Source organism: Homo sapiens, chromosome 19 (genome assembly GCF_000001405.40).
Source record: "Homo sapiens chromosome 19, GRCh38.p14 Primary Assembly".
Taxonomy (NCBI): domain Eukaryota; kingdom Metazoa; phylum Chordata; class Mammalia; order Primates; family Hominidae; genus Homo; species Homo sapiens.
Window position 1 is genome coordinate 47,966,875 of NC_000019.10, and position 25,449 is coordinate 47,992,323.

Below are 25,449 nucleotides of genomic sequence, written 5' to 3' on the forward strand. Positions count from 1 at the left end.
AGAAAAAAAAAGAAAAAAAAAAAAGCACTGGGATAAGCCTAGGGCTCAAGAGACCAGGCATTTCATTTCTTTCTTTCTTTTTTTGACTCGATGGATGTTTAATGATTTAAAATTTAATTTAACTTAATTTTAGATTCAGGGGATACGTGTGCAGGTTTGTGACATAGATATATTGCATGATGCTGAGATTTGGGCTTCAATGGATGCCGTCACCCAAATAGTGAACATAGCACCCCACAGGTAATTTTTCAACCCTTTCCTCGCACCTTCCCCCCGCTTTTGGGGTCCCCTGTGTCTATTGTTCCCATCTTTTATGTTCATGAGGTTTGTTTAGCAACCTCTTATAAGTGAAAACACGCAGTATTTGGTTTTCTGTTTCTGCATTAATTCACTTAGATGGCCTCCAGCTGCAATTATGTTGCTGCAAAGGATACGATTTCATTCTTTGTTATAGGAGACTGGCCATTTCTAGTAAGCTGCATGCTGCTGTCTTCTTTCTCCTTTGTCTTCTGTATTAGTTTGCTGGGGCTGCCATAAAAAAGTAACACAGATGGGGTGGCTTAAACGACAGAGATTTATTTTCTCACTGTTCTGGAGGGTAGAAGTACAGGATCAAGGTGACATCAAGGTTGGTTTCCTCAAAGCGTCTCTCCTTGCCTTGCAGATGGCCACCCCCTTAGTCCTCACAAGGGCTCCCCTCTGTGCACACACATCCCTGGCATCTCTCTGTCTGTCCAAATTTTCTCTTCTTATAAGGACACCAGTCATATTGGATTAGTGCCTACTCTGAATACCTCATCTTAGCTTAATTGCCTCTCTAAACACCCTTTCTCCAAAAACAGTTGCATTCCGAGGTCCTGGGGGTTGGGGCTTCAACATATGAATTTTGGAAAGGACACAGTTCAGCCCATAACAACATCTCTAGCCAATTCTGAGGTATTGTTTGAACATTACAGCCTACTTCCATCTGTGTTGCTTGGAAATAGAAGTTATATGTCAACCCATAGAAAGGATATTGAAGGGGAAGTCATTGATTCCTGTGGCCACCATGTTGGTAGGAACCACAGTGAATGTGAGGTGCCCGAAGGAAGATGCATCTTAGTGGATGGATGCCTGGACTCTGATGTCCACTCATCACTCTCCCTGCAAAGATTTCCCTTTTGCTAGAAATGCTGGAGAAAAAGAGTTTTATTTTATTAAGAAAATTGGGGGTTACTGTATATCAGACCATTCTGACCTGCTGAAGAATCCATGGCTTTCAGGAAGAAGATTATTACTGCTGGATGCATCGATCATGTTTTGTCTGTATCTGATAGCCAGCAGATGCAAGCAAACCTAACCCAAAGAACAGAAGCAGAAATCAGAAAGCAGACACAGATTGCCCCAACATTTCCTGCTCATTCTCTGCCAGGTACTAAAACATCTGATCTGGAGTCTGTGGAGACACACATCTTTTCTGCATATAAAATCAGTCTCTCTCTCTTTTTTCTTTTTTTTTTTTTTTTGAGACAGAGTATCTGTCTCCCACACTGGAATGTAGTGCTGCAATCTCAGCTCATTGCAACCTCTGCTTCCCGCGTTCAAATGATTCTCCTGCCTCAGCCTCCTGTGTAGCTGGAACTGCAGGCACGTTCCACCATGCCCAGCTAATTTTTGTGGCCTCAGCTACTTAGGAGGCTGAGGTGGGAGGATGACTTGAGCTTAGGAGTTTGAGGCTGCAGTGAGCTATGATGGCACCACTGCACTGCAGTGGCATGATCATAACTCACTGCACTCCAGCCTGAGTGACAGAGCAAGACCCTGTCTTAAAAAAAAAAAAAAAAAAAAAAGAAATCACTGATGGACCAGGCACAGTGGCTCATGCCTATAATCCCAGCACTTTGGGAGGCTGAGGTGGGCGGATTGTCTGAGCTCAGGAGCTCATGACCAACCTGGGCAACACTGTGAAACCCCGTCTCTACTAAAATACAAAAAATTAGTTGGGCATGGTGGCGTGCACCTGTAGTCCCAGCTACTCAAGAGGCTGAGGCAGGAGAATTGCTTGAACATGGGAGGCGGAGGTTGCAGTGAGCCGAGATCACACCATTGCACTCCAGCCTGGGCGACAGAGCGAGACCCTATCTCAGATTAAAAAAAAAAAAAAAAAAAGAAATCACTGACGGCTGCCTGGAGGGTGGATTTTAGGAGGATGTGAGTGGTAACAGTAAAAGTAGCCTGGAGACTATTGTTGTTGGGGCTGGTGCTGGTGACACCAGTGCACCTGCAGACAAGTAGATGGATTTGGCACGTTTTTTGAAGACAGTCTTGGTAAAACTTGTAAATTAGTTGGACGTGGTAGACATGGGAAAGAGAAGAGTAAAAACAGACTCTTAGGTTTGGGGCTGGGCAAATGGGTGGATGGTCATGAGATGGGAAGATTATCAGAGTTCCTGGCCTGGGGATATGAAGCAGAATTGAGATTCTATTTTGTTTTGCATGATTATTCAACATCCAAGTAAACAGATCCTTTATCCAGTTTGATATATGCTTTTGGGGTTTAGGAGATAACTCAGGACTGGAAATAGAAATTTGTGTGTCAATGATGTATGGGGGATATTCAAGTCATGAGGCTTTATAAGATTCCTGTGTCATTCAGGATTCAGTCAGGAGACAGAAACGACACCTGTAATTCAAATGGAGAAAAATGTAATATAAGGATATATTATAAATGGTGAAAGGGTATTAACTAGAAGGGATAAAGAGAATCTTAAGAACCCTAAGGAACAGCAGATTGTAGGAAGAAGCCACTACCTGTAAGGCAGGGAGAGGGGGAGAGAGAGAGAGAGAGAGAGAGAGAGAGAGAGAGAGAGAGACTTTAGAATGTATGTGTGTGTGTGAGAGAGAGAGACTTTAGAATTTATTTGTGTGTGTGTGTGAGAGAGACTTCAGAATTTATTTGTGTGTGTGTGAGAGAGAGACTTTAGAATTTATGTTTGTGTAAGAGACAGAGAGAGACTTTAGAATTTATTTTTGTGTGTGTGAGAGAGAGACTTTAGAATTTATGTTTGTGAGAGAGAGACTTTAGAATTTATGTTTCTGAGAGAGACTTTTAGAATTTATGTTTGTGAGAGAGAGACTTTAGAATTTATGTTTGTGTGTGTGTGAGAGAGAGAGAGAGACTTTAGAATTTATTTTTGTTTTATTTTATTTTTATTTTATTTTTGAGATGGAGTCTCACTCTGTCACTCAGGCTGGAGTGCAGTGGCACGATCTTGGCTCACTGCAACCTCCGCCTCCTGGGTTCAAGTGGTTCTCCTACCTCAGCCTCTGGAGTAGCTGAGATCACAAGTGCGCACTAACACACCCAGCTAATTTTCGTATTTTTAGTAGAGACTGGGCTTCACCATGTTGTCCAGGCTGGTCTCAAACTCCTGACCTCAAGTGATCCACCTACGTCAGCCTCCCGAAGTGCTGGGATCACAGGCATGAACGACTGCGCCTGGTCAACTTTAGAATTTATGAGACCAGTGTCTTATTCTTCTCTTTTTCAGATATGTGGGTTGGTTGTTGTTATCCTATTTCTGTCCCAACATTGTATCATGATATGTTGGGGAAAAGGACTAAAATGTGTATTTTTAGTTCAGAAGTCTCCAAATAAGGATAGTACAAAGGTTGACTTGATGCGGATCGCAAGATCCTAATGCTGTGTCCCGATGAGATTTGGGCACTCTTGGGATGTTGGCTAGATTGACTTGCATGTGGAATAAACATGAATAATAGTGATGAACAGGTGGGCTGTGATTATTTTGGTTATTGTTTACCAAATACCCTTCTCCTCTTCCTACCATGAGCAGAATTTACTTCCCTGTCCTATTAATAGTGGACCTGTTCATGTGCCGTGATGTGGCAATGGGATGTTAGCAGGATGGATACAAGCGGTCATTTTAAATGTGTTTCTTCAGTCTTTGTGCTTCTGCCTTTAGTCATGAGAAGAGGATGGCTCAGGTAGTCGCTCCTTATGGGAGGATGAAAAATCTGCATCTCAGAGCCGAACTAAGCCTAAATCAGACAAATCCTAGCTGACCCATGAATGCATGGTTACAAAAATAATGCTTATTATTTTGAGGGTGGTTTGTTATGCAGCAGCATTGTGAATAGCTAACTGATACAGGGAGAAAAATATGGTGGTGGCACCAATGGATTCAGCAGTGGCAACTTCCTGACTTCTGAACCACAGCCATGGTGTTGGGATCTCTAAAGCATTATCACTGGGACCGTCCCTGCTTTGGCTCTTCCTACCTTTCCAGCGATTTTGTGAGCCACTAATTCTCTGTATTTTATCGTTTAATTAATTAATTAATTATTTTTGAGATGGGGTCTTGCTCTATCTTCCAGGCTGGAGTGCAGTGGCATGATCTCTCGGCTCACTGCAACTTCCGCCTTTTGGGTTCGAGCGATTCTCCTGCCTCAGCCTCCGGAGTAGCTGGGATTACAGGCGCATGCCACCAAGCCCAGCTAGTTTTCGTATTTTTAGTAGAGATGGGGTTTCACCATGTTGGCCAGGCTGGTCTCGAATTTCTGACCTCAGGTGATCTGCCCGCCTCGGCCTCCCAAAGTGCTGGGATGACAGGCGTGAGGCACCGCACCCAGCCTGTATTCTGTCTTTTAAAATAAAGAGATTTTATTGTCTGCACAGACTCATCAAAGGTCTTCTTTGACCGAATCCCTCTCATTTTTTATAGTATAGCCATATTTCTCTTGTTCTAGTCCTCAATATGCCACACCTGTTCCTGCATTAGGAACTTTGACTTGATGTTCTCACTGTCCCCAGATAACCTTTCACTGGATCTTCACATAGCTGGCCTACCAATCTGAAACAGACTGTCTGTCACTTAATATTTTATTGCCCTAATTTTTAGCATAGCATCCATTCATACTAAATTCCTTCTTTATTAATTGAGAGCACTCCTAAGAACACGCGTCTTGTTTTATTGTGCAAGAAGGAGATTTATAATAACATTAATATCTGTTACCAATGTGTCTTGTTCATTGTCAAAGCCTTGGAAATATAATTTGAATAAAAAGGTTTTGGAATACTGAAAAGTCTTTAGAAATTTTTGTTCTGTCCTATGTTCATAGTCTTTGAAGAAAAAGTTATTCTGACTGTTTTTCATACTTGTTCATCTGCTTCGCTGGTTGTAATTGATGTCTCTGCATTCCTAAACAAGATAAATACCTGGGGTTTGCTCTATTAAATCGGAAGATAATTGGCACTTTCCTCGTCTTCAACATGTGTAAACGGTGAGTGGAATCTAAAATCTGCTAGATTTCACAATTTAACAAGGGAGTGGTGTTGAAAGTCTTACCTCATTGAGGTTGGCAGACTGAATGCTTGATTCCAGTTGTCCCATGCTAACCTTGATATTCTTTTTTTTTTTTTTTTTTAACTTTTAGGTTCAGGATACATGTGCAGGTTTATTATACAGGTAAATTGTGTGTCACAGGGCTTTGGCGCACATATTATTTCATCACCAACATAATAAACATAGTGCTTTATAGGTAATTTTTGTATCATCTCCCTCCTCCCACTCTCCACCATCCAGTGGGCCCTGGTGTCTGTTGTCCTTTTCTTTTCTCCATGTGTTCTCAATGCTCAGCTCCCACTTATAAGTGACAGCATGCAGTATTTGGTATTCTGTTCCTGCATTAGTTTGCTTATAACCTTGATATAGTTACGTGAACCAAATATCTTACTGTATTCTTTAAGGTAGTTATATAGAGCTGGATTTTAAATAGAAATTGGAAATAGAAAATTCTTCACAATGGTTACCTCGGATGTGTGGAATTAGAATATTGAAGCTGAGGTGGAGAGAGTGTTTATTTTAATATATTAAAATAGCATAGTATTTCTTTTTAATGTAATTTTTAAAAAATTAAAAAATTCCCAGTTTTATTTCCTTCCTATATATGCGTGTGTGTGTGTGTGTATACCCACACACACATCCCCACCCCCACCCCCACACGTACGTAATTGAGAGCATATCCAGATTTGGTAAATAAGTCTTCCTATAATAATGTAGGCGGCCGGGCGCGGTGGCTCACGCCTGTAATCCCAGCACTTTGGGAGGCCGAGGCGGGTGGATCACGAGGTCAGGAGATCGAGACCATCCTGGCTAACACGGTGAAACCCCGTCTCTTCTAAAAATACAAAAAATTAGCCTGGCGTGGTGGCGGGCGCCTGTAGTCCCAGCTTCTCGGGAGGCTGAGGCAGGAGAATGGTGTGAACCTGGGAGGCGGAGCTTGCAGTGAGCCGAGATCGCGCCACTGCACTCCAGCCTGGGTGTCAGAGCGAGACTCCGTCTCAAAATAATAATAATAATAATAATAATAATAATAATAATAATAATAATGTAGGCAGTAACATGCCAGAGACAGTAGTTTTTACATGATTCTGTGTTTTTCATAAAAGATTTGGAATATTTTACTCACTTCTAGGGAACAGTCTCCTGTCATTTTATTGGTACCATCTCATCAATCACCAGCACGCTCAATTAATTCATTTTAGGACAACTCATCCATCTCTGTGGTCCTTCCACCTCCATGGGGATCCATATGTGTGCACACAAACACATACACTTTTCATTCATAACGACAATAAAAAGTACAGCTCCCATTTTATTCTGCAAATATTTTGAGGTTAAGAGAAAGGGGAAGCTGGTTGAAATTCTGGTTCAACATTTGAGAGTTGCTGGTTGCTACAACAGTTGGTTGTTGAGAGATTGGACCCTTCCTTTCAGCCAGAAAAGAAAGATAATGTTTGCCTGGATATTATTGGGTATTACAAGAGAAATAAGCAAGCCAAGTACACGCGGGGAGGGCGCCATCTTGTTCTTGTTCCCGCCACTGCTCTGACGCAGCAAGAAGAAGTCAAAATCAGTTGGAGCTTCCAATCTACTGAGCCTCTACCTGCTTCTCCTTTCATTCACTGCCATCTTTTCTTTGCTGTTTGTTCACTTCTGGCTCCACGTTTATCCTTATGATCTTTCTTTTGCACATACTCTATCCTTAGCACTCTGTTCTTCTCCCACACCCACCAAACACCCACTTGGAAATAAACCCAAACATCGCCCTTCTCAGTGTGATCCCATGAGCAGGTATAGCTGTGGTGAAATCTCATAATTTAGTTTGGTGGGATTACAAACTCATGTTCCCCAGCCATGCTGAGTGCTATCTGCATGCACCTCCCGGCTCTCTCTCCACCCCTCATTCTGCTCTGAGCTCCTTTCCCTTTGCTTTCTACTTGGGCTTGACCAATGGGATGCACTGGCAGGAGATTAAAGGGAAGAAGGTTGAGGTATTAATTCCCTTGGCTCCCATGGATTGGTCACTTCCACAGCCACTTTCTCTCTCTCTCTCTTTTTTTTTTTTTTTTTTGAGATGGAGTCTTGCTCTGTCACCCAGGCTGGAGTGCAATGGCACGATCTCGGCTCAATGCAACCTCCACCTCCCGGGTTCAAGCGATTCTCCTGCCTCAGCCTCCCAAGTAGCTGGGATTATAGGTGCCGGCCACCACGCCTGGCTAACTGTTGTATTTTTAGTAGAGACAGGGTTTCGCCGTGTTGGCTGGCCTGGTCTCAAACTCCTTACCTCAGGTGATCCTCCTGCCTCAGCTTCCCAAAGTGCTGGGATTACAGGCGTGAGCCACTGTGCCCGGCCTCTCTCTTTTCTACCCGACCCTCTCTCCTCCCTCCTTTCCATTCTCTCCTATTCTGTCTCTCGCTTGCTCTCCATCTCTGTCCTTTTTCTTCCTCCCTTGCTCTCCCACGCTCTCAATTCCAGGAATTTCTCTTCCCCTCACTGTTTAGGTATTGCTCTTACTATCCCTGAATACTGCACTATTATCTATAGTTTCCAGTTTCCTCTAACTACCCAATTTGAGCGTGCAGTAAGCTTCCTGACTGACGCATTAACCTCAACCAAACCCCCTACACTAGCCAGACGTCTTCCAACATTTCTCTGGTCACCTCACTCTCCACTCTCTTCAATGACCATGACACACCTACCCCACTATACCCATCCCTCTCATTGTCACAAGATTACTTTTCCTACTACTTTCCTGATAAAATACAATTAAAAAAAACTCTCTCACATATGAATCCCCTCAAATCTACAAATCTGCTTATATCCACATGCACTTACATTTTCTTATACCTCGTAACAATGGAAGACCAGTTTCTACCGAAGGTGACTCCACTCCCTCCTCCTGGGATCATCCCATCTCTTCCTTTTTTCTCTGGGCCTTCTATCAGATATTTCCTCTCTACTATTCTTTGTTATTTCCTTTCATGTTTTTTTCCTTTTGAGATGAGGTCTTGCTATGTTGCCCAGGCTAGTCTCGAACTCCAGGGCTCAAGCAATCCTTCTGCCTCTGCCTCCCAAAGTGCTGGGATTACAGGCGTCAGCCACCGCTCCTGGCCTCTATAATCAAATTGGATTGTATCCAGATTCTGCTTACCGAACGATGCTCTGTGGCTTCTCTTTGGACTTAGCCAGCTCTCAAGTGCTGGCTTGCCCACTGCCTGGCTCCCAGGGCACTCACCATGGACCAGCCCCAGTGGCTTTCCCTCACTTTGTACAGCGCACCCATCTTTGTTGCCCTTGTTCGTGTGGTTCATATCTGACCCTTTTTAAACCTCACTCTGGTACTTTATCTCCACACCTGTATTCCTACCTCAGGTATCACCTCAGTTATCACTTTTTTTCTGTTTTAGAAATATTCTTTATTAAGGTAATGCATTTTTTTTTTTTTTTTTTTTTTTTGAGACGGAGTCTCGCTCTGACACCCAGGCTGGAGTGCAGTGGTGCGATCTCGGCTCACTGCAAGCTCCGCCTCCCGTGTTCACGCCATTCTCCTGCCTCAGCCTCCTGAGTAGCTGGGACTACAGGCACCCGCCACCACGCCCGGCTAATTTTTTGTATTTTTAGAAGAGACGGGGTTTCACCGTGTTAGCCAGGACGGTCTCGATCTCCTGACCTCGTGATCCACCCGCCTCGACCTCCCAAAGTGCTGGGATTACAGGCGTGAGCCACCGTGCCCGGCCAAGGTAATGCATTTTTAATACACGTTATTTTTTAGAGCAGTTTTAAGTCACAGAAAAATTGAGTAGTAGGTATAAAAATTTCCATGTACACATAGCCACTGTGTTATCAATATCCTCCACCAGAGTGGAACATTTGTTGCAATTGATGAATCTACATTGACACATCACTATCACCCAAAATCCATAAGCTTATTTTACTTCATTTATTTTATTTTAGAGGTGGGTCTCTCTTTCATCACAACTCAATGCAACCTTGAACTCTTGAACTCAGGTGATTCTCCTGCCTCAGCTTCCCGAGTAGCTGAGACTACAAGTGTGTGCCACCATGCCTAGTTACATTTTTAAATTTTTTCTTTTGTAGAAACGGGGTCTTGCTATGTTGGTCCAGGCTGGTCTTGAACTCCTGGCCTCAAGCAGTCCTTCCTTTTTGGCCTCCCAAAGCGCTGGGATTATGGGCATAAGCCACCACGCCTACCCCATAGACTTAATTTTTAAAAGGGACTAATTTTACACAGTTAGCAATTAAAGTGCTGAGGCTAAACTACAGATTTCCATATTAAAACCCCATAATCCTGAATCGAAAACCTCTAGTTATTTATAGTTAGATCACCTTCAACTCACATCCCAGAAAAAAAAAAAAAACAAAAAAAAACCCTCTCTAATGAGAAAGGGTTCTCCTCTGCCAACAAAAACTCTAGGTTCTTTCCAAGGAGAATGATTAAACGTCTTCATCCCCCTCCCCTGGTAAATCTCACCATCATTCACAGTATTTCCAAATTCGGTCCTTGTTAAAATTCTTGGTCAGTGAACACCATTTTTTCCCAAATGCTTCCCCATCATCAGTACACTCCCAGTAGATCAAGCGTCTGTACCAGAAGGGAAATACACAGTTTGCAAAATCTGCAGAGGAGGAAGAGGAAGAAGCAGAGTAAGAAACCTTTCTAATTTGCACCCACCTCCACCACACCATGCACACACATGCACACATATGCACACATGTGCATGCACGTGAACAAATGTGCACACATACACATGCACACTCACACAGACATACATGTATGCACACTGGTGCGCTCACACACACACGCGCAAATACACACTTTTGCTTCCTATTCAGTATCATCTGCTCTGCCCTATTTCACCAAAGGCACATGGGAACAATATTGGTGGGGGATTCAGATCCCACATCACTTTGCTGTTCTATTAAAAAGATTCTTTTCAAAATAATGTGGTTGAAATGCTCATAACATATCTATGGTGCAATGTGATTTTTATATCGTCAGAAATCGAACATCCTTTATTTTCACAACTTAATTGGCTATGGATTCTATTTTCAGAACCCTCTTGTGTTTTGCCTCAGATCCCAGCCTCAGAGACCAAGATTACTGCTCTGAGGTATTTAGAGACAGGACACTCACCTTCTGCACTGCAAAACTTCCAGTATCCTTCGTAGGTCTTGTTTAACGAGCACCACTTGTGTCTTGCCTTGGACTTGATGCAGTCATAATATGTTCCATTTTTATAGTGGAATGGAAAGACACACTCCCCATCTAGAGAAAACAAAATTCTTCCTCTGTTTCTGGGTGTGTTAGGAGAGAGGTTATCAAGCGACTGTCTTCCTAGGCGCTGTTGCCCTTTGAAATCAGAGTCATTGGCTGTGGCTGTAGTAAATGTTATTGTGCTACTCAATAGCAGAGCTTTGGCTCTCTAATGACAAAGCTCTTTTGTTTTATATTCCTGCCCCTGCCCTACTTCTTTTCCAGGTTATAAACAGTCTCAAAATTTTGCTTAGCATTTGCCCCAGTTTCAGAAATCTCTCCTAAGCGTAGAAATATAAATGTGGGCATTTATCTACCCAACAATTCTTCCCCCCTGCCCCTGGATCTCTTATTTTTACCTCTTTCCGTCATCTCTCTTTCTCTCCCTCTCCCATGCAACTATACATGTGTGTATGTGTGTCACCTGGGTATATCTGTGTTGTATGGTTTTATATATATACTTATATATGTTATATGGTTTTGTATATATGCTGTATGGTTAATACAGGATATATATATATATATATATATATATATAGTTATAGGTGCATACACACATACAGGCACACATACATAATTTTTTGCTACCCTTCAAAATGAATCATATTTTATACTTGAGTTTCCGACTTAACACATCACAGAAATCTTCTTAAAGTGATTGTGTAGCCCTAACTTCTTCATGGTTCACTGCAGCCTTATCCTCCTGGGCTCAAGCAATCCTCCCACCTCAACCTCTGGAGTAGCTGGGACTGCAGGTGCGTGCTACCATGCCCAGTTAATTTTTAAATTTTTTGTAGAGATGAGATCTCACTATGTTGGCCAGGGTGGTCTCAAACTCCTGAGCTCAAGCATCTTCCTGCCTCGGCTTCCAAAAATGCTGGGATTACAGTCATGAGCCACTGAGTCCGGCCTTAACTTCTTTCTAATGCTGATTCATGTTCTGTGATATGGATTCAACACAATTTATTCAGTATTTCCACATTCAGATTTTTCCTACTGTAAATACAGCTGTAGTAAACATTTCACATATTTAAGTCCTTATGTATTGAAGCATTTGTTTCTATAGAATCCCCAAAGCAAGGTTGCAAGGACACAATGTATATACAATTTTAACATTGATGAATATTGCTTTGTCAAAGGAAAATGGCAATTAGTCTTTCCCACCAATTGTGCTCCTTTACCTGAATTTTCATTAGCACGAAGCATTTACACACTTTAAAAATGTTTACCTGTATTACAGAAGATTTCTGCCTTGCTTTAAAAGATCTACTGGTCTTTAGGCCATACATATATTTTCCATTTTCTTCTTAAATTAAACAATTTTGTTCCTTTTACATTTAAAATTTGATTAAGCTAGAATTTAGTTTTGTATATGATGCCAAAGGGCAATGCAACTTTATTTTCTTTCAAACATATTTAGTAATGACAGATCGATGATGAAATAAATCACCTGTACATTTAAACAATCATGTTTAAAACCATGGATTATTCTAATATATCCTGGGATCCATTCTATATTTTCTATAAAGTTTCTTGAAATTATTAGAGAGGTAAGGAAGCATGGTGGTAAAATGAGCAGGCTCTGGAGCCAGCAAGCATCACAAAATATTTCTTCTTTTCTTCTCTCCTCTTCCTTCTCCTCCTCCTTCTTCTTCTTCCTCTTCTTCTTCCTTCCTCCCTCCTCCTCCTCCTCTTCCATTTTTCTAGGCTGATTCCATGTTGCTTATATTACAATATTTTAGTATGTCTACATATCTGATGAGACAAAATATTTCTCTACTACAGCACTTTGTTCATACTTCTAATTATTATTGGATGTTTTTCTATATAAATTTTAAAATCTATTATTTCCTGTTAGATTGGCAGAAATTAAAGAGTAGACACATTTAGTGCTGATGAAAGTTCAGAGTGACTTCTATACCTCTGTTTTCTTTATCTGTTTATGAGGCACTTATGTTACATTTTATATAAGGAGAAAAAATGATTTTTTTTACTGGAAAAACATTACTGATTTCCTCACTTTTACAAAATTAAAAGAAAATATACATTAATAATCAAAGTTTTCTGATCGACTTACCTGTAACTTCTGGAAAATGAGTTATAGTTTCTGAAAAATAAAATTTAGAGCTGACATTTATTTCACTATTATTAGGCTTTAAAATGGGCTCTTACGTAAAATAAAATTAAATAAAAATGTTAGTTTAGGAAAAAGTGATATTGTTATGGCATTATGTTTTCCATCCAAGAACATGGCATCTGCTCTTTTTCAAAATGTATTTTTTTGCTCTTCAATATGATTTTCTTATTTATTCTATATAAATCCTACACATTTCTCACAAATTTAATTCCAAAGTGCTTTTTTTTGGTCACTGATGTTAAACAGAATGTTTTCCATTTCCATCAATGTCCAGTTGGTTCTTATCAGTATAGAGAAAAACTATTGACTGTTGTATGTTTATCTTGCATCCAGCCACATAGCCATATTACTTTATTAAAACTAATAATTTTTATTCATGTTCTTAGGGATTTAAGGTATACAATCATAAAATAATTTTGCCTGTTATTTTATATAGAGTTTGTCCTTTCTACAATATCACTTATGTTAGAACCTAAAATAGTGTTAATGTAACACCCCTGTGCTTTCCTAGTTTTAATTGGTATGACACTTAGATTAAGAATGTTTATTTCAGCATGATTAGTATTAGATTAAAAATAATAATTAAAAAATATTCATCCCTGAGGGAATTTTAAAATGAAATTGGCTTTATAATATCAAGTAGGCATTAATAAAGATGAGTATATAAATAGATACGGAAAAATTTGTACTTCATTTTTAGGTGGCAAAAGGCATTTTCTATTTCCTTCTTTTCCAGAATACTTGATTTTTGCTAAAAATCACATTATGAAGTTACATGTAATGACATGTTTAATCACCCAAAAGTAAAATTAACAGTAAAATTATGATTTATCTCCTCTTCTTCTTTCTTTTTTTTTTTTTTTTTTTTTGAGACTGTCACCCAGGCTGGAGTGCAGTGGCGTGATCTCGGCTCACTGCAAGCTCCGCCTCCTAGGTTCACGCCATTCTCTTGCCTCAGCCTCGGGAGTAGCTGGGACTACAGGCGCCCGCCACCATGCCCAGTTAATTTTTTGTAGTTTTTTAGTAGAGACGGGGTTTCACCTTGTTAGCCAGGATGGTCTCGATCTCCTGACCTCGTGATCCCCCTGCCTCGGCCTCCCAAAGTGCTGGGACTCTTCTTCTTTTTTCTTAACATTTTTAACATGAAATTTACTTTATATATAAGTACATAAAATAGTAATCTTTAATGAAAAGTATGATTTCTTACCAGGAAAGGGAATACTCAATGGTTTCACATTTTATTGCAAAAATTTGAAAAGAAACGCTAATAAAAGTTTTTTGATCAACTCACCCACAGTTGATGATAATTCATCTGAAAAACACAATTTTGAACAAATATTTATGTCACTTTAAAATAAAAGAGATGAAAGGATTTCACCAATTTCTATTCTAGTAAGAATAATACTATTTTGAAAGTTAGACATCAAAGTTCAATAGAGCTTATTTTTAGTAGTGTGATTGTGGGTGATTTCTTACTTTCCTTTTGCTTTAATTGTATTTTTCAAATATTATTAAAGGATAGGAATGATTAAAATTATTTTTAAAACAAAAAATTCAGCAGGCAAAGGAAATGATTTACTTTTCTCACATTTTTCTATAAAATAAACCACTTCATCATAGGTTTCTGATATGAACACTATAGGTTTTTATTTCTGTCACCACTTCTCACTGAATACCTGAATTCTACTATTAGAGATTCATGTCTTTGGAGTTGCCACTTTCAAAATGGAAACCTCTTCCTCTAGGAGGGAAAAATAAGAATGATACCTCTGAGGTATGTAGGAAATGCAAATAAATGCTCTGAACGTCTTCTCTATCCTGGGCACTATATTTTATTTAACTTATCAGAACAATTTTGTGAGGCAGGCATTGTTTCCATCATCTTAGAGATAAAGTTCAGAAATGTTAGGTTCCATTAAATTAAAAAAGTTAAGCATATGGCAATTCAATTTGAATCCCCCCGGAGGGGTTGGTTCAGTAGGAAGTAACGGCCCAAACCCTGGCACAGGCTCAACCACTTACCAACCATCTGCCCTCAGTTTACTCTGCTGTAAAATGGAGAGAGAACATTAGGATGTCAAGTCCTCCCCAGTTTGAATATCCTAATATTCTTGGAATGAAGGAAACTGCCTGATAGCTTTACTTTTTTTTTTTCTTAAAGCAGCATTTTTCAACCATTGTTCCTTCATGAGCCATTCAACCTGTAATATTTACCTCCCCCTCCTTAGAACTTGAATTTTTTGTTTTGTTACTTTGCATGGTTCCTGATGAAGTGATTTTAGGCAAAGGCTATTTGATTTAAAACCAGCATGTTTTAGTTAAATATTACATAACTGTTACAAAGTTCATTTAATTGAGGCTTTAAGAACAGTCATAACTTTAGGATGAAATACAACATAGAATGAATTGTAGAATAAATATAGAGTGAAAAATTTGATTTTTTCCCAAATAGCCCGTAATAGATGATGCTTAATAACCATTAAGATGATGTCAGATAGAAAAGCACAATTTACCAACAAGTAAATTTACAAATGTCATGTTTGGTTAAGAGAACATCCACGTATTATAATGTAATTAGCAGATATCTCTCATATTAAAGCATTATAACTCGACATATTCTGTGTTCATAACTAGTTCATCAAATTTGTGGATTACACTTGAAAGAGCAATGACTTAATTTTTTATTTTTTGAAAAGATTTTTGCAAAAGCAATGATTTTAATTCTGAATTTGTTGTGTATATTTCATTTATTACTGACGATTTTGCTATTTGCTCGTGTTTATTCATTCCACAAGTTTGTTTTTCAGCTAAATTGTCCTGGCTGCCATTGTGGCTTGAAATTAAAACGTTTTTCCTTAGGCACATCTTATTTAAGAAATAGTCATAATGGACCAGCACAATGGTTCACAAGCTTTGTTGCATATTAGAATCACCAGCTGAGTTTTTAAAAACCCAGATCCCTTCCACTTCTGGGTATATATACAAAATAATTGAAAGCAGAGACTCAAACAAATATTTGTAAACCCATGTTCATGGTAGCATTATTCATAATAGCCAAAAGGTGGAAAGAACCCACATGTCCGTGAGCAAATGAGTAAATAAAGAAAATATGGTAGACACATACAATGGAGTATTATTCAGCATTAAAAAGGAACAAAATTTGAATAGATGCCACCACATGGATGCACTTTGAAAATACTAGGTTAAGTAAAATAAGCCAGACACAAAAAGACAAATATTATATGATTCTACTTATATGAGGTAACTAGAATAGTCAAATACATAGAGACAAAAAGCAGAATGGTGGTTGTTAGGAGCTGGAGGGAGGGAGGAATGGGGAGTTATTATTTAATGGGTGCAGAGTTTCAGTTTGGGACAATGAAAAGGCTCTGGAGATAGATTGCACAATTTGAATGCATTGAATGCCACTGAACTGTGCACTGGTTCCAGTATATAGGGAAGATCTCACGATGAAGGGATCTGCATTTATTCAGCCAGTCCATCAACCCACTCATGTAGACAACAAATATGGATTGAATGCCTACTATGTGCCCAGCCTAGTGCTAGGTTCTGGGCTACCCAAAAAGGGAGTGGCTGAAATGGTAGACTCTGGACTACAGAAACCATGAGATTCAGGTGGGAATCCAAGATCAATGGACTCATCAGGAGTTAAGCTTGTCTTTCTCTGAAATATGGGGATTATAATTGTTTCTACTTCCTGGATTTGTTGGGTTCATTCAGTATGCATTCCATAGTGAAACTATTAGGAAATGGATTTTGGTTTTGAGGATCATGATAGGCCTGATTTCATGAATGGGGAGATACAGACGAGTGATTCCAACATAGCCTGTCTGCTAAGCACTATGATCTTAGAACAGGTATCACCAGGTAAGCATCAGAATGCAACATCCCCATATCATAAACACAGTGCACCATCCTCGGTGCTATAAAATTATGAGTCCCCACTCAAACGTCCCACTCTGATTAACACCAGAAATTCTGCCATCCACCTGGTGGATCATTTGTTGTGAATGTTGGGATGTTATGTTTCAAAAAATACCTTGCAAGTACAATGCAACTGCAAAGCAAGTGGACTACAAAATGAAGCCGGTCACTTTGTGAAAGATGCAAGAATGTATGAATTTAATGACAGTGATACAACAAAGTTAAAAAGAGCACATATTGTAACTCCATAAGGGCTTTGAAGAGAAATTTTTTTTTTTTTGACACGGAGTCTCACTCTGTCACCCAGGCTGGAGTGTAGTGGCACGATCTCGGCTCACTGCAACCTCTGCCTCCTGGGTTCCAGGGAGTCTTCTGCCTCTGCCTCCCAAGTAGCTGGGACTACAGGTGTGCACCACCACCTGTATTTTTACTTGGCTAATTCTTGTATTTTTAGTAGAGACAGGGTTTTGCCATGTTGGTCAGGCTGGTCCCAAACTCCTGACCTCAGGTGATCCACCCACCTCGGCCTCCCAAAGTGCTGGGATTACAGGTGTAAGCCACCATGCCTGGCTTGAAGAAAAAAAAAAAAATATATATATATATATAATATAAATATATATAATATGTATATTATACATAAAATATAAATATATATATTATATATTTTTAAATTCAAAGGATTAAGAAGGGCCCCTAAAAATTAATATAGTCCTAGAATTAGTCTTAGAATACTTATACAAAACTGGCTTTCTTTATGACCCTTTGAGGAAAGTGTAGAATGGAAGAAGACAAAGCTATGCACTGGAAAATCGTAACAATTTTGTCAGGAAAGTCCTGCATCCCAATTCTTTTCATTCTCAAGAATTCACCTTTGGTCATAATTCAAGCTAAATTCTGTTATAATATATAAGGTTTTAAAAATACCCTTATTTGAAATAAAAATGAGTCTCATTTTTTCAGTTAAACCCAAATCGAAATTGTTTTATGCAGCCATAACAAAGAACAAAATCATGTCCTTTTTAGCAACATGGATGCAGCTGGAGGCCATTAGCCTAAGCAAATTAGTGCAGAAACAGAAAACCAAATACCACATGTTCTCACTTATAAGTGGGAACTAAACATTGGGTGCACAGGGACACAAAGATGGGAACAATAGGCACTGGGGATTACAAAAGTGGGGAGGTAAGGAGGGGACCCAGGCTTGGAAACCAACTATTGATGGCCGGGTGCAGTGGCTCATGCCTGTAATCCCAGCACTTTGGGAAGCTGAGGTGGACTGATCATGAGGTCAGGAGTTCAAGACCAGCCTGGCCAACATGATGAAATCCCGTCTCTACTAAAAATTAGCCGGACATGGTGGTGGGCGCCTGTAATCCCAGCTACTCAGGAGGCTGAGGCAGGAGAATCGCTTGAACCTGGGAGGCAGAGGTTGCAGTGAGCCAAGATCGCACCACTGCACTCCAGTCTGGGCAATACAAGACTCTGTCTGAAAAAAAAAAAAAAAGAAAGAAAAAGAAAAAGAAAACTGCCTACTGGGCACTATGTTCATTATTTGGGTAATGGCTTCAATTGAATCCCAAACCTCACCATTTATGCAACATACTCATGTAACAAATCTGCACATGTACCTCCTGCATCTAAAATAAAATTTTTTAAAAGAAAAATCTTTTGAAAGAAGCCAGAGGGGGAAAAATACCTTACCTACAGAGAAGCAAAGATAAGAATTATGTCCAACTTCTTTCCAGAAACCATGAAGATAAGAATGAAGCATTTACAGTGTTGAGAGAAAAAAAAGTCTTCAATCTAGAATTCTGTACCCTGCAAAATTATTCTTCAGAAGTGAAGGAGAAAGAAAGACAAAGATTCTCAGACAAACAAACATTGAGGGAATTTGCTACCAGAAAACCTGCCTTGAAAGAAATGTTAAAAGTTCTTCAGAGATATAAAGAGAGGAAGCACATTAGAAAAAGAGTAAGTAGGCCCGGCATGGTGGCTCACACCTGTAATCCCAGCACTATGGGAGGCCGAGGCGGGCAGATCACCTGAGGTCAGGAGTTCGAGACCAGCCTGGCCAACATGGTGAAACCCTGTCTCTACTAAAAATACAAAAATTAGCTGGGCATGGTGGTGTGCGCCTATAATCCCAGCTACTGAGGCAGCTGAGGCAGGAGAATCACTTGAACCTGGGACGTGGAGGTTGCAGTGAGCTGAGATCACACCACTACACTCCAGCCTGAGTGACAGGGCAAGACTTTGTCTAGAAAAAAAAAAAAGGAAAAGAATAAGTGAATGTAAATAAAATGAAAGCATGTGAAATGTGTTCAGGAGCTTATGAAGTCCCCTGAACCCGATCACTTTTCCAGAGGATGAGCAGTGAATTTCAGCATCGTCAACAGCATATATTGGCATTCTTGCAGTTGCCCGCAGGAGGATATAGTTTATCAGACTTTATTCTTCCAAGCTACGGAGCCCCAGAGGAGGGAGGAGTCTGGGGAAGCTGGTCGAACAGACTAGGGAAAAAAAGCTGCAGTGGCCTCCCTATCGTGGGGAATTGCTGTAGCCTGCTACATGGTAGTCCTACGATCCTAACTTGGCCAAGATTCTTGTTTGGGTTCAAGAGCTGGGTCAGGAGTCTTCCCAAAGTGCTGCACTTGCTGTTCCATTCTATGTTCAATGGAATACAGCACAAGATAGAAGACAAAACTTACGAATCTAGAGAATGTCAGAAGGCCTGGAAGAGCACTGGTGAAGAGCAATAACAATGAATGGGGAGGAGTTGGGGTCCTTGGGTACCAAACCATGGGAGGCTCATCCCCCAGACAGGAGAGCCGCGTGGCCTCTGTGATTGCTTCTTCCTTGGTTTTGTGCTGTAGAATTTTACTGGTCAGGCATGGTGATTTACGCTTGTAATCCCAGCACTTTTGGAGGCTGAGCCAGGAGGACTGCTTGAACCCAGGAGTTCGAGACCAGCCTGGGCAACATAGCAAGACCCCATCTCTGCAATAAATAAAGACACAAAAATTAGCTGGGCATGGTGGCGTGCACCTGTAGTCCCAGCTACTTGGGAGGCTGAGGCAAGAGGATCACTTGAGCCTGGGAGGTCAAGACTGCAGTGAGCCGTGATTGTGCCACTGCACTCCAGCCTGGGTGACAGAATGAGACCCTATCTAAAAATAAAATAAAATAAAATAAAAATAAAAAAAATCTAGACAAAGTACCATAGACTGTTTGGTCTAGAGCAATAGACATTTATTGTCTCACAGATCTGGAGGCCAGAAGGCCAAAATGCCAGGGTTGGTTCCTTCTTAGGAGCTCAGAGGCAGAAACTATTCCATGCCTCTCTCCTTGCTTTTGGTGGCTGCTGGCAAGCTGTGGCATTCTGTGACTTGTGGCAGCATCACTTTAATCTTTTCTTGTGACTATGCGTGCTTGTCTTCCCTGTGTGTGTCTGTTTCCTCTTCTTATAAAGATACCAGTCATTGGATTAGGGCCAACCCGTATCCATTGTGACTACATCTTAATTACCGACATCTGCAAGGACCTATTTCAAATACAGTCATATTCACAGATCTCTGGTAAACATGAATTCTGGAAGGACACTATGCAATGCAACCCCAGACAGTGAGGATGAAGACGAAGAATTTGAGTGTCACTAGACAATCCAGTTTGTGGAGGCTAAAACACCTCTGTCTTGGGTGCTAATTCGCCGTGTTGGTTTCTGATTAACCCCGTCCTCGGAATGTCCCTACAATTTCTATTTTATCTACTGTTCTTTGTGTAAGAACACGTACTACATGTACTTAGTACTTACTTTTTTTTTTTTTTTTTGGAGACAGAATCTCACTCTGTCACCCAGGTTGGAGTACAGTGGCGCTGTCATAGCTCACTGCAGGCTTGACTTCCCAGGCTCAAGTGATTCTCTTGCCTCAGCCTCCCAAGTAGCTGGAACTACAGGCACACACTACCATAGCTGGCTAATTTTCAAAAGTTGCTGTAGAGACTAGGTCCCACTATGTTTCCCAGGCTGGTCTCGAATTCCTGGGCTCAAGCAATCCTCCCACCTTGAACTATGCATGGCCAGAGCTTGTCTTTACTATTGATCCTGCCCTTAGGTCAAAACAACCTTGATCAAAGAACCTTTAGGCAGGGCTGGGTGTGGTGGCTCACAGCACTTTGGAAGGCGGAGGTGGGCAGATCGCTTGAGCTCAGGAGTTTGAGACCTGCCTGGGCAACTTGGCGAAATCTTATCTCTACCAAAATTACAAAAAAATTAGCTGGGCATGGTGGTGTGCTCCTGTGGTTCCCGTACTGGGAGGCTGAGTTGGAGGATTAATTACTTCAGTCCCGGGAGGCGGAGGTTGCAGTGTGCTGAGATCACACCACTGCACTCCAGCCTGGGTGACAGAGTGAGCCCTTGTCTCAAAAACAAATAAAATAAAATAAAAATAAAAATTACAAAATCAGAAAAATTTTAAAAATTAAAAAAAGAGAAAATCCTGCCGTTTTCAGTAACATGGATGAACCTGGAGGACATTATGCTAAGTGAACCAAACCATTCACAGAAGGACAAATATTGCACGATTCCACTTGTATGAGAAGTTTAAAGTAGTTAAACTCACTCTGTGAGTATCGACTACTAAATCCAAACCCTTATCCTGCCTCTTTAATACTGTAATAGTACTTTTGGTACTATAATAGTAGTAATAATGACTTAATGATAACAGTTCTGTTCTGAGCGTCACGCATGCTAACCCATTTAATCTTCCAGCAACCCTGGGAGTCAGCAAGAATCACGATCCTCCTGTTTCAGATGTGGGAACTCACAGACATCCAGGACTCAAAGTCTTGCTTGAGGCCACAGGCTAAGCTTGGTTGGAACCCGGAGATGCTGGAGGGAAAACTGGTCTCCTGAGCTTGCCAGGAGCAGAGTTGAGTGGGACAGAGGAGGCGAGAGGAGCCTTCAGTTCTTGGTGAGTGGGGGTGCATGAGAGCTCTTAGCCATGGTTCCTCCTCATCCTCTTTAAATAATAATGGCTCTTGCAATGCAAGATTCACATTTTAGCACAAACGTTTGTTGACATCAAACGATCGGTTGGTGGGCAGTCCTACCGCACCAAAGCCTGAACTGGCAAAAGTGAAAACCCCAGAGTTCTGGGTGCACGAAGCATGTCCGGGTCTACACACCTGGACAGTTCTCCCCGCAAGGGACCCCACTCCCATGTAATCCCTTAGGCAACCCATCAAGTTGGAATAGTAATTACATGTTGGACATGGCAAATTCCTAGCCCTGGAACAAGATCACTCAATCAAGTCCTTTGTGAAGTCTTGCCAATTCAATTATTTTTTCTTTTTCAGGCTAGGCGTATAGCTGATTTAGCATGTGCCATACACATGGTCTGTTTCCTCTTCTGTCTTCCCACTAGATCGTGCACTAGTGGGAAGAGGTGGGGGTGCATATCACATGCTCATGAGTGGAGATGCTCATGCTATTTAGTCTCTGCATCTGTGCATCCAGCAAACCTATCAAGTCACCGTTTTATTATTATTATTATTATTATTATTATTATTATTATTATTATTATTATTTTGAGATGGAGTCTTGCTCTTGTTGCCCAGGCTGGAGTGCAATGGCATGATCTCAGGTCACTGCAACCTCCGCCTCTTGGGTTCAAGTGATTCTCCTGCCTCAGCCTCCTGAGTAGCTGGGATTATAGGCACCTGCCACCATGCCCGGCTAATTGTTGTATTTTTAGTAGAGACGGGGTTTCACCATGTTGGCCAGGCTGGTCTTGAACTCCTGACCTTGTGATCCGCCCGCCTCGGCCTCCCAAAGTGCTGGGATTACAGGTGTGAGCCACCGCACCCAGTCTGTCACTGCTTCTAAAACACCAAAATGTAGTGCTCCTCTGATGAGGATGAGGAGGAACCATAGCTGAGAGCTCTCATACATCCCCACTCATCAAGAACTGGGACTCCCTTCACCTCCTCTGTCCCACTTGACTGCTCCTGGCAAGCTCAGGAGTCCAGATTTCCCTCCAGCATCTCTGGGTTCCAACGAAGCTTAGCCTATGGCCTCCAGCAAGACTTTGAGCCCTAGATGTCTATGAGTTCCCACCTTCCGCTTATTTGTGACGACATCTTATTATCTGCAAGCCGGATTGCTGTGGGGACCCAGCTGTTATTGTCTGTATTGAATTCGACCAGCATCAAAAACTTGCAGTTTGCTACTCAGTAGCTCAAAAGAAACTCTTAAGAGACAATAGGCTGTGTGCGGTGGCTCCTGCCTATAATCCCAGCACTTTGGGAGGCTGAGGTGGGTGAATCACCGAAGATCAGGAGTTCGAGACCAGCCTGGCCAACATGGTGGAACCTGGTCTCTACTAAAAATACAAAAATTAGCTGGGCATGGTGGCACGTGCCTTTAGTCCCAGCTACTCGGGAGGCTGAGGCAGGAGAATTGCTCGAATCTGGGAGGCTGAGGTTGCGGTGAGCCGAGATCATGCCACAGCACTCCAGTCTGGGTGACAGAGCAAGACTCCATCTCAAAAAAAAAAAAAAAAAAAAAAAGAGACAATAAGTCCAGGAGGCAGATGCTTGCAAGGGAGAGAGAGGGAGATAGTGAATAGGCAACAGTTCTGCAGATCAAAAGTAGACTAGCACCACATCATTTAAAATACAGGCTAACGAGCCCGGGGCCCATGAGTTTTTATTCTCTGATGCATTATTAAAAGAAATGCTTCATCAGTAAGGCTCTGAATAGCACAAGTATTATGTGGAAAAATATGACATCCATAAATTAGGAGACCAGACATTGACAGCGGAGAAGCTTTAGGATCGTCTTAATTTGCCTTTTTCCACTTATCTATATTCCTTTTTATGTATCTACAAACATGATGTCTGATTTAAAAAAAAAACCTGTGGCCAAGTACAGTGTTATTTTTCAGTAAGTATAAAATAATTCTAGTGGATAAGAAAGCAGTGGTCATAGTTACATTGGGAGTATATTTTCTTTTCTGTTCTTTAAAAAAAAATAGCAAGCAGTGTTATTTTTTTTTAATGCAAAGATGTCCTGAAGAATACTTAAAAGAAATATCTGCAAGATCATTCTTCTTGGTCATTCCATAAAAAATTGTTTTTGAAACTATGCTTAGTCCTCATCAAACGTTGTCAGATGCATCCATAGTGAATTCCCTTCTTATTTTTCTATTTCGCTTCATAATTGTTACAGGCAACACGACTTTGGAAAAGGAATAAAATCGACTTTATGAAAATTAGTCTCATTTTCAAAACCTCTGCAGGAGGCATTTAAAATCTCCTAGCATGAAGGGAGGAGACACATGGTTTTCAAGTAACATGTCACTAGGATTTTCCAATTTACATTCTTAGTCTTTCATTATTTTATTAGCCGAACTTTCTTATTTTTTAAAAAATCTTTACCTATGGATTGTGTTTCTGACATGGAAGGGAGAGTATCTTTTTCTTTCTTAAGGTACCTAAAGCAAGGGAGACTGTTGCCCTCCATGGCGACTGGGATTTGATTACATACAGCAGCCGATGTGCAGGACTCCGTCCCAGCCAGGGTCACCTGTCTCCTCACCTTCTTCCAGAACGTTAAATACAGCGCCGACCACACCACCGACCACACCGCGAATCAGGCAGACCCAAACCAGCAGGAGCCCCATGTGCCGGGCCATGCTCCTGTCAGACACTCGTGGTCGACCAGCTGATGTCCAAGATTTTATAGCCCCTGGAACTAACCACAACCACTTCCCCTCCCTGTCCCTCCTCTCTTTCCCTCCTCCCCACTTCTTCCTTGTCCCTCTCCTTTTTCACCTTCTCCTCCTCCTCATTCTTTTTCTCCCTTCTCCTTCTCCTCTCCTCCTCCTCCTTCCTTTCCTCCTCCTTCTTCTTCTCTTCCTTCTCCTCCTCCTCCCCCTCCTTTTCCTCCCCTCCTCCTTTTCTTCTTTCTTCCCCTCCTCCCGGTCATCCTCCTCCTCCCTCTCTTTCCCCTCTGTCTCCCCCTCCTCCTCCTCCCCCTCTTCCTCCTCTTCCCTCCTCCTCCTCCTTCCCCTCCTCCTCCGTCTGCTCCTCCTCCCCCTCCTCCTCTTCCTTCTCTTTCTCCCCTCCTCCTCTCCTCCTCCTTCTTCCTACTCTCCCTCATTCCCCTCCTTCTCTCCCTCCTCCTCTTCCTTCTTCACCTCCTCCCCCCTTCTCCCCCCTTTCCCTCTTTCTCCCCTCCTCCTCCTTCCTCTCTTCCTCCTCTTCCCTCTTCCACCTCCTTCCCTGCCTCTTCTCCTTCCTCCTCCTTCCCCTCTTCCCCTTCCTCCTCTTCTTTCATCTTTCATCCCCACCTTCTCCCTCCTTCCTTGCTCTCACTCTGCTCCAAAGTTAAGCTATCTACCTTGCATAGGAAGAAATATAGAAAAAGAAATACTTAAAATAACAGGGAAGATGCAAGCTGAGGAATTTCGCGTCGTTTCCACGAAGAGAAGCATCAGGGAGCCCATGGGCAGTCACAGGCTTCCCGGTATCTCAGATCTTCCTGGTCTTTGTCAGCCAGGGCTCAAGAATCCCCTGGAGAGGCCCAGGGAGGCTTCTTGGAAAAGCAGGTTTGCTTCCCTAATATAAGCACCTTTGTTGATGCTCCACAAACCTTCAGTGTGGGCCACTGTTCTCTGGAGGCCCTTGGTGATTAACCTAATGGGCTGCAGATGGCTTTGAAGTTCTGAGGAACAAGTGGTGCAGCCTT

At 41.5% G+C, this 25,449-nt stretch overlaps 1 protein-coding gene across 2 annotated transcripts; it reads right to left on the reverse strand.

Moving 5' to 3' along the window:
* Positions 1-383: 383 nt before the first annotated feature.
* BSPH1 (binder of sperm protein homolog 1) lies at positions 384-25,296 on the reverse strand. Of its 2 annotated transcripts, XM_017026118.1 has the most exons (7): positions 25,135-25,296; positions 14,047-14,067; positions 12,696-12,725; positions 10,499-10,630; positions 9,836-9,980; positions 1,238-1,335; positions 384-528 (listed from the first exon to the last, which is right to left on the reverse strand). In XM_017026118.1, exons 1-5 carry the CDS (start codon positions 25,205-25,207, stop codon positions 9,838-9,840), a joined length of 399 nt encoding a protein of 132 aa, XP_016881607.1. In that variant the 5' UTR covers positions 25,208-25,296; the 3' UTR covers positions 384-528; positions 1,238-1,335; positions 9,836-9,837. The 2 variants fall into 2 exon arrangements, with proteins under 2 accessions (XP_016881607.1, NP_001121798.1); NM_001128326.2 differs by lacking the exon at positions 384-528 and having other exon boundaries at positions 1,172-1,335.
* Positions 25,297-25,449: the final 153 nt, after the last annotated feature.

Excerpts from the sequence above, each read along its gene's own strand:
- BSPH1 (XM_017026118.1), bottom strand. The coding sequence starts at position 25,207 with ATGGGCTCCCTGATGCTTCTCTTCGTGGAAACGACGCGAAATTCCTCA. Across the intron at positions 10,631-12,695 it reads TCATTTTCCAGAAGTTACAG|ATGGGGAGTGTGTCTTTCCA; the intron begins GTAAGTCGATCA and ends TGTTTTCTCTAG. Across the intron at positions 9,981-10,498 it reads GAAGTTTTGCAGTGCAGAAG|ATTTTGCAAACTGTGTATTT; the intron begins GTGAGTGTCCTG and ends CCTCCTCTGCAG.